Source organism: Homo sapiens, chromosome 15 (genome assembly GCF_000001405.40).
Source record: "Homo sapiens chromosome 15, GRCh38.p14 Primary Assembly".
In the NCBI taxonomy this organism is placed as follows: Eukaryota; Metazoa; Chordata; class Mammalia; order Primates; family Hominidae; genus Homo; species Homo sapiens.
The window spans coordinates 70,350,052-70,363,707 of record NC_000015.10 but is presented as its reverse complement, the minus strand read 5'-3'; the positions used below and the strand labels follow the sequence as shown (position 1 = coordinate 70,363,707).

The 13,656-nt window shown below is 51.2% G+C and overlaps 1 annotated feature.

Annotated features, from left to right (window-relative positions):
• Positions 1,199-1,698: an enhancer, noted in NCBI's record as "H3K4me1 hESC enhancer chr15:70654349-70654848 (GRCh37/hg19 assembly coordinates)". NCBI's record gives its function as "activates a minimal SCP1, AML or CMV promoter by ChIP-STARR-seq in naive H9 embryonic stem cells {active_cell/tissue: H9 hESC(naive)}" and the evidence as "EXISTENCE:reporter gene assay evidence [ECO:0000049][PMID:30033119]".

Sequence of the window (13,656 nt, the reverse complement as noted above, 5' to 3'; positions counted from 1 at the left end):
TGAGTTTTTTTTCTTAGTCTAGCTAAAGATTTGTTGTCTTTTTAAAAAATCAGCTTTTTATTTTGTTGACGTTTTGCATCATTTTCCTCATCTCTATTTTATTTATTTCTGCTCTGATCTTTATTATTTCTTTCCTTCTACTTGTTTTTGGCTTAGATTGTCTTTGTTTTTCTAGTTTTTTGAGGAATGAGGTAAGGTTGTTATTTGAGATCTTTCTACTTTTTTGATATAGGCGTTCATTGCTATAAGCTTCCATCTTAGGACTGCTTTTGCTGTCTCTCATAGGTTTTGGTAAATTGTGTTCTCATTCTCATTTGTCTCTAGAAAGCTTTTAATTGATAAATATTTCTTGAATGAATGTGTTTTTGTGAGCATGTGTGGATGCACACCCGTGTTCCTATGATGGAGTGAGCCCCACCCCAATGCAGGGGATGTCCCTAATGTGCATCCAGGCCCCAGCCACTCTGTACACAGGTGCCCTACACCGGGAAAAGGCTGGCTCCCGGCGTGGTAGGCCAGCCCCAGCGTTTGCCCAGCTGGTGGGCCAGGAGGTGCAGCAGCCCAACATGGCCACATGGTGGGGGAAGATTCCCTTCCTCTCCTCCTTCTCCAGGCTGGGAGCGCTATGCCCTGGGTCTCCCTGCTGTGTCCACCCTCTCCATCATGGGCCACCCATCTATGGTCTTTCCCTTAAAGACCATAGACCCTGCAGGTGGACCCGCCTCCTTTCCACACCTGTCTTTGAATCTGGACCTGCCTTCTGGGCCTAGTTGGGATGGAGAGGACCATCCTCAAGCAGAGGATGTCTGGGGCTCATCTTGGGCCCTTTGCCTTTCCTGGGAGGAGGAGCCCCTTACTCCCACCTCTCTCCCCAGCATGCCTTTGTGATTTGAGACATACCCTACACAGCCACACTGTACCTTCACTGCACCCTTCTAGCCAAGCCCAGAGGGTCAAAGACCTCAATCCAGGGGGGCTGCAGGGAGCCTGATGTGGTTGTTTCAGCAATGTCTGCAGCGAGGATGCTGTGTAAACAGGCATTTGTTCAATCACTGTATGGACATCCTGTTCCGGGAGGCCTCAGGATCTCCTGGCTTCAGGGAGGGCGTATTTACCTGGTGTGCCCTCTGGATGATAGATGGAGAATGCAGCTGGGGTCAGGCCCTCCTGGATCAATGTGGCTGCTCCCTGCTGTGGGCATCTCAGAAGGGCAGAGACTCTGGAACTGGAATCTGACCTGGAGCCTGGGATATCAAATCAGCTTGGGGGAAAGCTGGCCAAGTGACCTTGGTGGCCAATACTTGACCCTAAAAGAGACTGACCTGCTTGAGCCCAGTGGCATCCCCACCCTTATTCATCTGCCCAACTTTGGGACATTTATGGGGAACCCATAGGCTCCCCAGAGGCTACCTCCACCCTGCCTGGAGCCTTCTGCATCTGTCAGGCCTAAGCTTCAGATGGTTCCCCACCCACCTTCCACCACCCAAATCGAGCTGGCATTTGCGCATCTCCCAGAGGCACGAGTTAATGGTGGGAAAGTGCTCTGTAACAGCTGGGCTGGACAGGTGTGTGGAGAGTTATTACACCGCAGAGGGCCTAGCAACGAAAGCCTGTGGGGGAACTGCCCTCCCCACCCCAACCTTCCTGCTTTAATTCCAGCAGGGGCTGTCATGTCGTTATCTGTAAAAAGTTGCCTGTCGTGGAGCCAATGGGTGGGCGAGGCTGTCTTTTAGGGGCCTTGCCCAGTGATGGTAGAGGGGAACCGTCGATGGAAAGCCCAGGGACGGAGGGCCAGCCCTGGTTCATCCCCTGACCAACCACGTGGTACTGGGAAGGTCTCCTTCTCTTTCTGGCCTGTGGTTCATGGCAGTGCCTGCCACGGAAGGCTACTCATCCAGTAGATAAGAGTCACAAATGGCCAGGCGTGGTGGCTCACGCCTGTAGTCCCAGCACTTTGGGAGGCCGAGGCGGGCAGATCGTGAGGTCAGGAGATCGAGACCATCCTGGCTAACATGGTGAAACCCCGTCTCTACTAAAAATACAAAAAATTAGCCGGGCGTGGTGGTGGGCGCCTATAGTCCCAGCTACTCGGGAGGCTGAGGCAGGAGAATGGCGTGAACCTGGGAGGCAAAGCTTGCAGTGAGCCGAGATCGAGCCACTGCACTCCAGTCTGGGCGACAGAGCGAGACTCTGTCTCAAAAAAAAAAGAGTCACAAATGCCAGCCTTCTGCTGCAGAAGGCTGGGACTCTGGACAAGTCCCTAAACATGGTTTTCCTAAAAGATGGACATCCTGAGGAGTGTGGCTGCCTTTGGGGTGAGCAACAGGCCTTGAAGAAGAGAAGCTGCTGGCCCTGAATATCAGGGGGCAGAGGCTTGTGGAGAACCACCCTCCAACCCTGGTGTGGGCAGAAGCAGCGAGCCGTGCTGAGAAGGTGGGTCATTGGAGGATGGGTGCTAACTAGGCATCAGGTTTGTGGGCATGAGTGGAAGGCAGGTGGAAGGGCTGCCATCAGGAGGAGCAAGGTTTTAGAGGCCTTGGCAGCCAAGTAATGGGCATAATCTTTATTTGCTTTTAACAGAGTGAGATATAATTTACATGTCATACAATTGACCCATTTAAAGAGTACAATCTGTGTGTTCAGAAGTATGGAACCATCACCACCATCAATTTGGGGACCTTTTTATCACCCCCAAAAGAAACCCCATACCCATTAGCACTCACTCCTCATTTCCTTCTAACAATTCTTCCCTATACACCTCAACCCTAGGCAACCGTAAATCTACTTTCTATCTGTATGGCTTTGCTTATTTTGGACATTATACAGAAGTGGGATCATCCAATATGTGGTCTATTAGTGACTGGCTTCTTTCGCTTTGTTTTCGACGTTTATCCATTTTGTGCCATGAATCAACACGTCATTCTTTTTTACTGAGTGCTATTTCATTGTATGGCTATCCCACATTTTGTTTATCCACTCATTTGTTGATGGACATTTGAGTTGTTCCCACTTTTGGTTATCATGAATAATGGCGCTCTGCACATTCTTCTCCAACCCTTTGTGTGGGCCCATGTTTTCCATTCTCTTGGGTATCTATGCCCAGGGGAGGAATTGCTGCATCCTGTGGTAACTCTGTGTTTAACATCTGTGGCACGGCCAGGCTGTTTTCCAAAGGGGCCCCATCATTTTGATGAGGCTGCTGACAGTTCTCCAAACAGGAAAGATGGGTATTCAGGGCCAGGTTAAGACCTGAGTTTGTTTGTGCATGAGGCCAGGATTTTCCAAGATAAATCCTACAAGTAAAATGCCTTGCCAGGTAAGATCACAGGTAATGAAATGGGCTCTTGTTAATTAAAGGAGGCAAGAGGAGGGTCAAGTACCAGGAAGCAAGCTTTAAGAGTTTCCCTGTCCAAAGTCTTCCTATCTATGCCTCCAACACCAGAACCCCTGAACTTTGTGTGTCACTGAAGGCACAGGCTCAGGACTGGCCCTGAACAGAAGTGGGAAGACAGTGCTCTATAGGGTATGATTTTAGGGGCAACAAGGGGGAGACATCTCCAGACCTTAGAATACTTTGCCAACTCCTGAAATCCCATCTCCAGAGTCAGAGCCTTTCAAGTCATAATTAGAAATCATTTAAAATGCAGACTTCCGGGCAGAGAGAACCCATCTGCACTGGTACATGAGCACTAGGAGCTTCCTGGGGTGGGAGGTGGGGGTGGCATGGGGGTGGGAGGGAAAGCGATTAAAAATAGAGGTGGGGTGGAGAGGCAGACCAGGAAGGGACCTTTGCTGGGGTTATCCTTAAGTGGATGGGGTTTTGAAGAAAGCCCTGCAGATAAGTTAGGCCTGGCCCTGGACAGCCTGCACCCAGCCAGGCCCACACCACCTCCATGATGCAGAAGTTAGCTGTTTTCTTGATTTCTCCCGAATTCCCTTACCTTCTCACTTTCAGAAAGTAGTGCTGGTGCTTTGGCCAAGCACATTTTTTCTCCAAACACACAAGCAGACAAGAAACCTTAATAAACAAGCAATCCCCATTCTGCCCCTACTCTGAACGCCTCCAACTCCAGTCCACACCTACCAATAAATTATTGAATGAGGCCCTTCCAGAACACAACTTGGCCTCTGAGAGATTAGATGAGAAAGCCGAGCTCTGCCCTTTACAAGCTGTGCACATTTGGAGGAGTGAATTCCCCCCCTGAGCCTCAGGCCCTCGCCTCAGCAGTGGCCCATTGGAGGGATCGATGAGACGACTGGTGGCCCAGCACAGGGCCTGGTACACAACAATGCTTGGCCATTGTTCTTTTCCACTCGCTCTCACTCTACCCTGGCTCAGGTTCCACCTTCCCACCCCCAACCCCTACTGCTCTTTTCTCTCTGCAGCTGCCCCACCATCTTGGATGGTGATAATTGCTGGATAATTGGCACACAGCTCTTAACACCTGGGGAATCATGGGTTTCTCTCCTAACTCACACGTATTCATTTCTTCCTCCTTGGAAAAGCTGGTGCTCTCTGCCTGCCTGGCTTTCAGATAGGGCCAGCATCGCTCGCCTCCAGTGGGGACTGGCATCTCTTCTCTACCATCCATGATGCCCACTGGCAGGCACAGGGCTGCTCCTCCCGCTCCTGCGTGTTTCACTAATGAATAATGAAGAAGCCCTCAGACCCCGGCCCTCTCCCTCCCGGCTCCCAGCCTCTGATATATTTGATCCTAGACGGCATAATTTTTCACCTAAATGTGAATGTATTTGTGAATTTATAGAAAATAGTTCTCGGTCTGGTGATATAATATAGGGCTGCCCCATCCTGGCTGCTATTTTGATTGTGACTTAAATGGATGAGGCTATCAATAATTATTTTATTGAACAGGCACATAAAAAATGATGCTAGGCTAAAGCAATTTCCCTGACAAAGCCAGCTAATGCATTGTGGGCAGTTTACCTTTGCGGCGCTGATCTTGCTGAGAGGGGCTGTAGGGGCTGTTTCCTCATCCATTTGTCCCCTTCACGGGCTTTTCCCTCCACCGAATCCCAGGAGCCCTGGGTTGTGGAGCAGAGTGGGCAAGGGTGACCCGCAGGCAGTGGCAGGGAGTGGAGAAATCGGAACCCTTGCCATGCACCCTGGACTTCCCAAAGCATTTCATGCATCCTCTCATTCCCCACTCAGCACAAAATGGGCGATGTGATCGTGTTGGATGGAGGAGGAGAGGTGAAGGGGCTGCGTGGAGGTCTCCCAGCCACTGTCTGGACCTTCTGGCTCCTAAGGAGTGGGTTGTTCAGAGTGAGTGTGTTTCCAAAGCCTCTTTTTATTTGCAGCTCTGTTGTCTCCAGTTCTGTTTTGGGGGGAGCAAGACTGTGGTGCCTCCCTAGGAATCCAGCTTTCTTAAATGCACCCCTTGAAAGGGTGGATCGAAGGCTGCTGGAGAAAAGATGTGGACAAAAGCCACATAAACTGCTCCCCACCCCCAGCAGCTGCTCTGCCCCAGAGCAAGTTTGGGGCTTGTGGTGTCCTCTGTGTTTGTGAAAGCCAGTCTCCTTCAGTGTCTCCTGGGCTGAGCCTGTGTTAGGGACTGGGCAGGGCAGGATAAGATGGGACAAGGCACAGTGCAGTTGGGGAGCCTCACCCTTGCCTGGGACAACAAAGAGTTCACCAAACTTCAGCCTTTTGCGTTCCAACACATTTTTTAACTTTATCTGTCTACCACCTGTACTATTATTTACTTAATGTATTTCCTTAAATCAACTAACATTTAACTTAGTTCCATCCTAGGCCATAAATCCATTTAACCACTGTTTGATGTATTCATTTTATTTTTCTCATGCACACTAAAAATAAAAGTATAACTAAAATGAAAACAAATGCATCCAGGTAACAGTGAGAAGCATCTGGCAAACACTAGGAATCTTTATGCCTGGGTAAGGCTTTATGTCCCCCACCAGGCAGAGCAGGCGATCTGGGAGGGGACAAGGCATGGTATCACTGCCATCACCCATCTGCACATCAGCCTGGCCTGGATCAACAGAGCGGGGGCCCATAGAACGCCCGTCTGCCCAGTGGTGTCCGAGGGGTGGTGTGAGCACAGGTCTGGGGTGGGACAGTCTGCGTCCCCAGGGTCTGCAGGGGCCCACTCAGCCCAGGGTTGGGTGGCATGGGGACCCCCTGCACACATCCCCCAGTGCCTCCCCTCAGTCCCTGATGGCCCCCACACTGACCCCTGCTTTCTTTCTGGGGTTATAATGAGCTTTCGCGCTGAACTAAAGCCATCCCCTCCCCCACAACACAGAATACAGTCCAGATCTGGGAAGGCAAACACACAAGCCTTTGTGTTTTGAGGGCTTGGATTGCTAACATCTCCAGGGAAATGGCCAGAGGGGAACAGGGAGAACAAACTGGGGAGCAGAGTCTCCGAGGGTCAAAGATCCCAGAGATCTCAGCGTCCTGGCCTCCAGACAGCGCCATTACCTCTTGAGCCAGTCAAACCTCCCTGGCTTCTCCTGCATCCACCCCACTTTCCCACCCCCTCCTCTGTTCCCTGTAGACCCCTCCTCCCCAGAGGCCTCTTCTGAGGGAGCAGGGGGTTGCCCAGGCCAGGACCACAAAGCTGAGCTGGACATCTGCTTGTGTCCCTCATGACTTTTCCAAAGACCAGTGGGCCTATCCGAGGCCATCCGGTTGCTCTAGGAGATGAGTCAGAGGCCAGGGCCTGCAGGGATGGTGGCTGGGACAGGAGGGAGAGGAGGCGGCTGCGACCTACAAGAAGGTGCATCCCCTTCTCAAGGCACTTCAACTGAATGAAAGAAATGGAACCTGAATAGGAAAAACAAACAAACAAACAAACAAACAACAATGACAACAGAAAAAAAACAAACCACTCTGCAGGCTAGATTCACCCAGGGTGCGGACTAGAATACATAGATGTTTTGTAAAGTGCTGCGTGGTGGTGTCCAGGAGGGGCAGGCTGGGCTTTCTCCAGATTTAGCACAGCACTTATTGGAATCCAGGGTTCTGCCAAATCATCAGGCACCTTTGCACAATTAGAAAGCGGGTCCCTCTCCCGGGTGGATGCAGCCTACTCCAGGATGCCTGTTTGGTGAGCAACCCCCTGAGCCCCTTGGCAGGGGCTCTTATATGTAAACAACTGCACAGGTGTGCTCCTTGTGCCCTACTGGAGGGCGCCCCTGATTCTTGCCATGCCTGGGCATTTTCCCCATGACCTGCTGTTGTTCAAATGACACAACCTCTCACTCCACAAACTGCAGGCAAAAGCTACGGTAGAGCTGACACGTGGCAGTCTCAGGCAGGAGAGTCTCAGAGCCACTGGCAGCAATGTCAGGACCCACACAGCAGGTCCTCTAGTGAGCCCAGAGGCCTGGGCCTGAGTGCAGCAGGGCAGATGGCCAGGTAGGGCAGGGAGGGGAAACTTGGTGCCACCGGAACCTGTGGCTGATGTGGAGAGACAGCTGCCAGCTTCCTTCACCCTGCGTGAGACCTGCTCCTGGCACAGCTCCTCATAGGGGACCCCTCAGCCTCCATTTCTGGACATGTGGGCAGTGGCTGACCAGCCACACTCCAGCTCCTTGGTCAAGGTGAGGCTGGTGTGGCCACATTCAGGTTCCAAGATCAGGGTAAAGGCATTCACCTGCCTCTCTCAAAGGTCAGGTGCTCTGAGAGGCTGGTCTTCTACTCACATACACAGCCTGGCTAATTCACAGACTGCAGAGCATGGACTGGTGCAGAGGAGCAGAGCCCCGCCTTCTCGTCCCTTTCTTCTTTCTCTCTCGTCCATCTCCACATCTTCCCCATCTCTGCATGCCTTTGTTCCTCCAGTCCTCCCCTCTTTTTCTTCCCATATCCTTCTCTTTGTCTCCATGTGCTTCTCTCTCTTCCTTCTTCATATCCATTCTTACTTTTCCACTACCCCTGTTCTCTCCTCTCTTGTCTCCTCTGGGGAATTATATATGGCAGCAGGGCTACTTGTCGGGGCCACCATTGGGTGACCACAGCCACAGGACCAGCAGTGCAGGGATCTGCTATCCCCACCAGGGTGAGAGTGATGATGATGGAGCCACTGCCCCATCCTCAAGATCATGCAGTGGAGTTTCTGCCTCTCCAAGGACAGGAGCACCCCCACACTGGCCAGCAAGAACACACATCCTCACATATATCTACTGGCTGTGGACAGAGGTGTAGGCGCCTGGACCCAAGGGGAGCTGCTGGGAGCTCGAGAGCACACCTGGTGGTCCCCATGAGAGGAGCAGATGCCTGTCCCAAGAACTTTCCATTTATTCACGGACAACAGTCCTATGAGATGCATCCTATTATTGTCCCCAGTTCTCAGAAGAGGGAACTAAAAAGTACAGGGGGTGACATGACCTGCCCAAGGTCACACAGCAGGCACGGGTCTGAGTGGAGACCTGAGCCCAGGCCTTCCAGCTCCAGATACACACCCTGAACCTTTTCCACCTCTCCTGTCCCAGTACTCTGAAAAAGCAGAAAGAGCTGGGGCAGACAGTGCTCCTTCAGCCCACTCCAGCCCCCAAAAGACCCTCCTTCTCATCAGCTGCCACGCAGATCTCTAGTGTTGAGTGGAGGGTTGCTATTTCATCCTCTGTTCCAAAACTTCCAGCCTTAGTGTTATCTGGATTTGTCAAGTATTTTTTGACAGAGAGGAAACACAAGGTTTGAAAACTCAAGGTGTGTGATGAGTTGGAGTGTGGAGGAGACTTTATAGAGCAGGATTCTTGGATTGGAGCCTGCATCAGAATTCTTGGAGGGCCTGACAAGACACAGATAGCTGGGCCCCAACCGCAGAGTTCAGGCTTAGCAAGGAGTGGGGTCCAGGAATATGCATTTCTAACCTGTTCCCAGGGGCCATGCTGCTGGCGGTTCTGGGACCACACTTTGAGAACCTCTGCCTTAATAAAAGGGGAAGCTGGAATTCCAGAGGCAGACGTTTTCATCTTCACTGGGGGCTGAGAGCAGACAGGGGAAGCTGGGGTCCCTGAGGCGCTGGGCAGTGGTTACCCAACCCCTCCTCTGTATGAGGCGCTCCGGGCGTCTGTGCCCAGCCTTGATGAATAGCGCTCATTTAGGTGGTATGGGGAGTGCCTCTGCACAGACCTATCGGGTTTTTATTAACTGTTTTACTGTCGTACTTTCAAAATCAATCAAACAGTGCTGCCCTCCGGAGACACACCGGGGTTGGAGGGCTGAAGCTCCCAGTCTAAATGCAGCAGAGGCCGGGCCCAGGCCCACAGCGGGGCCGCAGGGGCAGGGGGGCCGGTGCTTCCTCCTGCCCGGTGAACGGCGGGCTTTGTCCTCTCTCTCTGAACCAAAGCCTCAGACTGGTCTGAACCGCGCACCCCAGACCAGAACTAACTGCACACATTTGTTGATCCTTGAACCGAACCCAAACCTGAATTTTTCTTGTGAACCACTTAACAAACCAATATTCAAAACAAAACAGGGAGGGGGAAAAGACCCTTGGCAGACCAGTTTGAATTGGAAGGGCATCTAAATTTCCAAGCCCATTAAACACAAACAAAGCTGGGTCATCAAAAGCCTTCAAACCTGACTTCAGTCAATATTTCGATTGGCTGGGCTCCCTGGCATGACACAGCTAAGCCCCAGGTGTGGAGAACTGGCTTTCCAAGCTCCAGGAAAAACAAGGGTCTCTGTACTGAATTAAACCATCCCAGGGAAGCCCCATCCTGCAGTTCCACCCCCACACCCTTGTGAAGGAACAAACGAAGAACGTGGGAGTCCCGTCTGCCCTGGCTTGTCCCCTGAATGTCTCCTCGACACAAAGTGCAAAGCCAAAGCTCTGGCCCACAGCTAAGTAGTGGGGGGTCCAGGCCTCTGTGATCTGGCAAAGGTGCCAGGACAGTGCAGTCGGCCCCTGCAGCTACCCTGACGCGCACCAAGGTCCCCCAGCAGTGGAAGAGAGGAAAGGCCTCTCCAAAGAGTGGGGTGTTCATTGTATTTGCAGGGTGGCAGGGGTGCCAGCCTTGCCAAAGGACCCATGTGCAAGAAGAGAAAGTTGTGAGAACGGCGAGTGGGCGAGATGCACAGGGCAGAAGCTGTAACTTCTGGGGCTTCGTGCCCAGCCCGGGGCTGCCTAGCTCAGGTGTTTACCGTTCGCTGATCTTTGAGTGTCACCAAAATGCACCCTCATGGCTTGGAAGCTGCATCCTCTTGAGCCCTGCTGCTTGCATTCATCCTTGTTATAGGGTGGCGTCCCTCCCTCTCTCTTTCCCTCCCTCCTTCCTCCGTCTTTCCTACTCCCTGTCTTCCCTCCTTACTCCTTCTTTGAATTCCTTCCACATGCCCCTGCCCAGCTCCAGGAAAAGCCCTGCCCAAATGTGGAATGGCCACTGTCTTTCTTATGAATTAAGAAGTGCTGCTGGGGAATATTATTCAGCCCTGAAAAGAAATGAAGTACTAATACCTCCTACGATGTGGATGAACCTCGAAAATATTACATGGAGTGAAAGAAGCCAGACACAAAGATCACATTGTATGACTCCATCTAAATGAGATGTCCGCAATAGGCAAATCCACAGAGACAGAAAGCAGACTAGTGGTTGCAGGGGCTCGGGGAGGGCTCGGGGTTGCAGGGGCTCAGGGGGAATGGGGAAAGACCGTGTAATGAGTATGGAGTTTCCTTTGGGTGCAATGAAAATGTTCCGGAACTAGATAGAGGTGATGGTTGCACAACCCCATGAAGGCGCTCAATGCCACTGGACTGTACACTTTAAAATGGTTGATTTTATGTCCCGTGAATTTTACTTCAAGTACAGAAACAAACACAAGGAAGTACTGTGGACTCCCTTCCTCTCCTCTTGCATGTAATCAAGGCGCCTCCAGTGCCATGTTCCAGGAGCTCTTGAGCTTAGGAGAAAGTGTGCAGGGTCTCTGGAAGACTCAATACAGTACATATAAGTTTTGGGGGAGTGTCTTCCCTGCCCTCATGGACAATGCATCAGCCTGGAAGCCTTAGCCAGCCTGACTCTGAAGGAAAGTGTGAAGGGCAAAGGTATTGGAGAGTTAGGGGAAGGAGAAAAGGGGAAAGGTGAACCAAAGAGAGGAGAAAGGTGTGTGTGACAAGCATCTCTGCCCTGCAGGCCCTGGGCTGGGCATTTCATGTCCAGCAGCTCATTCCACTGCAGCCTTGCAGATGAGGAGGCCAGCTGAGCACTGGTTGTCCAAGGTTACTGACCAGGAATAGGTGGGCTGGCTCTGGAGTCTGTGCTTTCAAGCCTTGGCTCTACATACTAGGATCCTCGTGGATGGGCCTTTGGAAATGATGCTGTCTTGGGCCTGGTTAGCCCTGTGGGGGCTGCTTCCTCCCCTGTTCCTGGCCCCTGGCTCCAGTCTGTTCCCTATGTGCCCTTTAGACCCTGATGATGAGTTCCCCGGGCTGCTCTTGCCCACTGCACCCTAGAAAGCCAGCTCTCCCCTGTCTGTTCTCCAGGATTCAACATGTGGAGGAGGAGTCCAGGGTGGGGATGTTTAAGACAGCTGCCTCCTGCCTGTGCTGATTGTGTTCATCCAGCAGGTGATCCTGGTGCCTGAGCCCTGGCCTGGATGTCAGGAGAGTGAGGCAATTGCATCTAGTCATTCTTTTAACAAAGATGGATTGGATGCCTGCAATGTGCCAGGCACTGTGCTAGGTGTTAGGGATGCAGCAGGGAGCTCACGGCCTCCCACCTTCTAGTGGGGGAGGCAAATAATGGAGGCCCAAATAGATCATGCAAACCCCTCAGGTCAGGATAAGCACTGGGAAGAGAAATAAAGCAAGGGAGGGGGAAGAGAATGACAGTCAAGGGAGGGAGAGGAGAACTTTCAATGGTTCAGGGAAAGCCTTTCTGAGGAGGTGACATTTGTGCAGAGACCTGAATTAAACCCAGGGGAAGAGTGTTCCAGGCAGAAGAAACAGTAGGTGTGTGGTCTCTGAGTAGCCAATGAACTCAGTGGGTTCAAGGAACAGCCAGGAGGCCTGTGTGGCTGGAGGGCAGTGAGCAGGAGCTCGGACAGGCCAGAGTCACGTGTGGACCGAGGAGGAAAGCGGGTGTGTGGTTTGATTCTCACCCAATGAGGGGTCCTTCAGGGGGCTGAGTGGAGGAATGGCATTGGCCAGCTAATGGTTGACGAGGACAGGAGCTGCAGCTGTGAGGAGAGTCCCTTTCAGTGGCAAGAGGAGAAGCAGGGAGGCAGTGTTCTTTCCCAGACATTGCTTTAGCCCTTTGGGTTTGCAGCCTCTGAGGCTGGCCTGCTGGAGTAGAAGCCCTGCCCTGCCACTTACTTGCTGTGTGACCTTGAGCAAATTGCTTAACCTTTCTGTGTCTCTGTTTCCCCATCTAGAAACTTGAAAAAATAATCATACCTCTCTCGTAAGGTTGTTGTGAGGATGGGGTGGGAGAACAGTGGTAGGACATAGTGAGTACTCCATGCGTGTTAGCCATTATCACTACCTTATACTATCATTAGCAACTTAACATGGTCTCCCGGTGGGAGGACGAAGAGCTAGCAAGTGGCTGCCTCTCCTTCTGCTCCTCTCTGGGCCTCAGGGTCCTTATCTGCTAAGAAAGGATTCATGGCCAGGCACAGTGGCTCAGGCCTGTAATCCTAGCACTTCGGGAGGCCGAGGCGGGCAGATCATTTGAGGTCAGGAGTTTGAGACCAGCCTGACCAACATGGTGAGACTCTGTCTCTACTAAAAATACAAAAAAAAAAAAGTAGCTGGGTGTGGTGGTCCATGTCTGTAGTCCCAGCTACTCAGGAGGCTGCGACAGGAGAATTGCTTGAACCTGGGAGGTGGAGGTTGCAGTGAGCCAAGATCATCACTACACTCCAGCCTGGGCCACAGAGTGAGACTCTGTCTGAAAAAAAAAAAAAGAGGATTCATTAGCAGATCTTTAAAGACCTCTCCAACTCTCTAACATCTGAATAATTAGAACCAATACCCCTCGTACACAAAAACAAAAGCAAAACATTAAGCACCCCCAATGTGCCAATCTGCCAGGAGAGACCACATAGAATTGCATTCAATCTTTCCAGTAACTCAATGGGAGAATCTTGTCCATTTCATAAAGACCAGTGTTTCCATCTTTCTCTTTCTTTAGTCTGTATTATTTTTTCACCTGTTAGATAATACATTGGTGGAAGAATTTCCATTTTATTTTTATTTTATAAATTTTTAAATTTAAATGTAAAATTTAATTTTCCTGGATGTGTGTTCCATGTGCCTTTGGAAGCAAAGTTTCCTGAGGTGCTCACCATAATCTTTCCAATGGGGTTAGGATTTAGAAACACAGAGAATGGAAATAAAACCTAGTTCCTACCCCAAGACTAAGGCAAAACAAGTGTAAAGTTTTCTCTCCTTGGTCCAAGATCAATGGGAATTAATATGGAGTTTTTCAGAGGTCAGTCTTCTGGGGACCTCCTGGTGACCACTCAGCCCAATTTAGTGGTCGGCTGGACAAACACGGTTGTCACAAAGCCCGTGTCCATTTCACAAAGCCATGGAGTCACATGGCAAGTTGGGTATAAAAGAAGGCAGGAGATACAGAGCAGGAACATAGTTATAGCAGAGCTGAGAAGGAAGCAAAAAGAAGTGTGCACATACCTTGCTTAGACTTCCGGCTAGACAC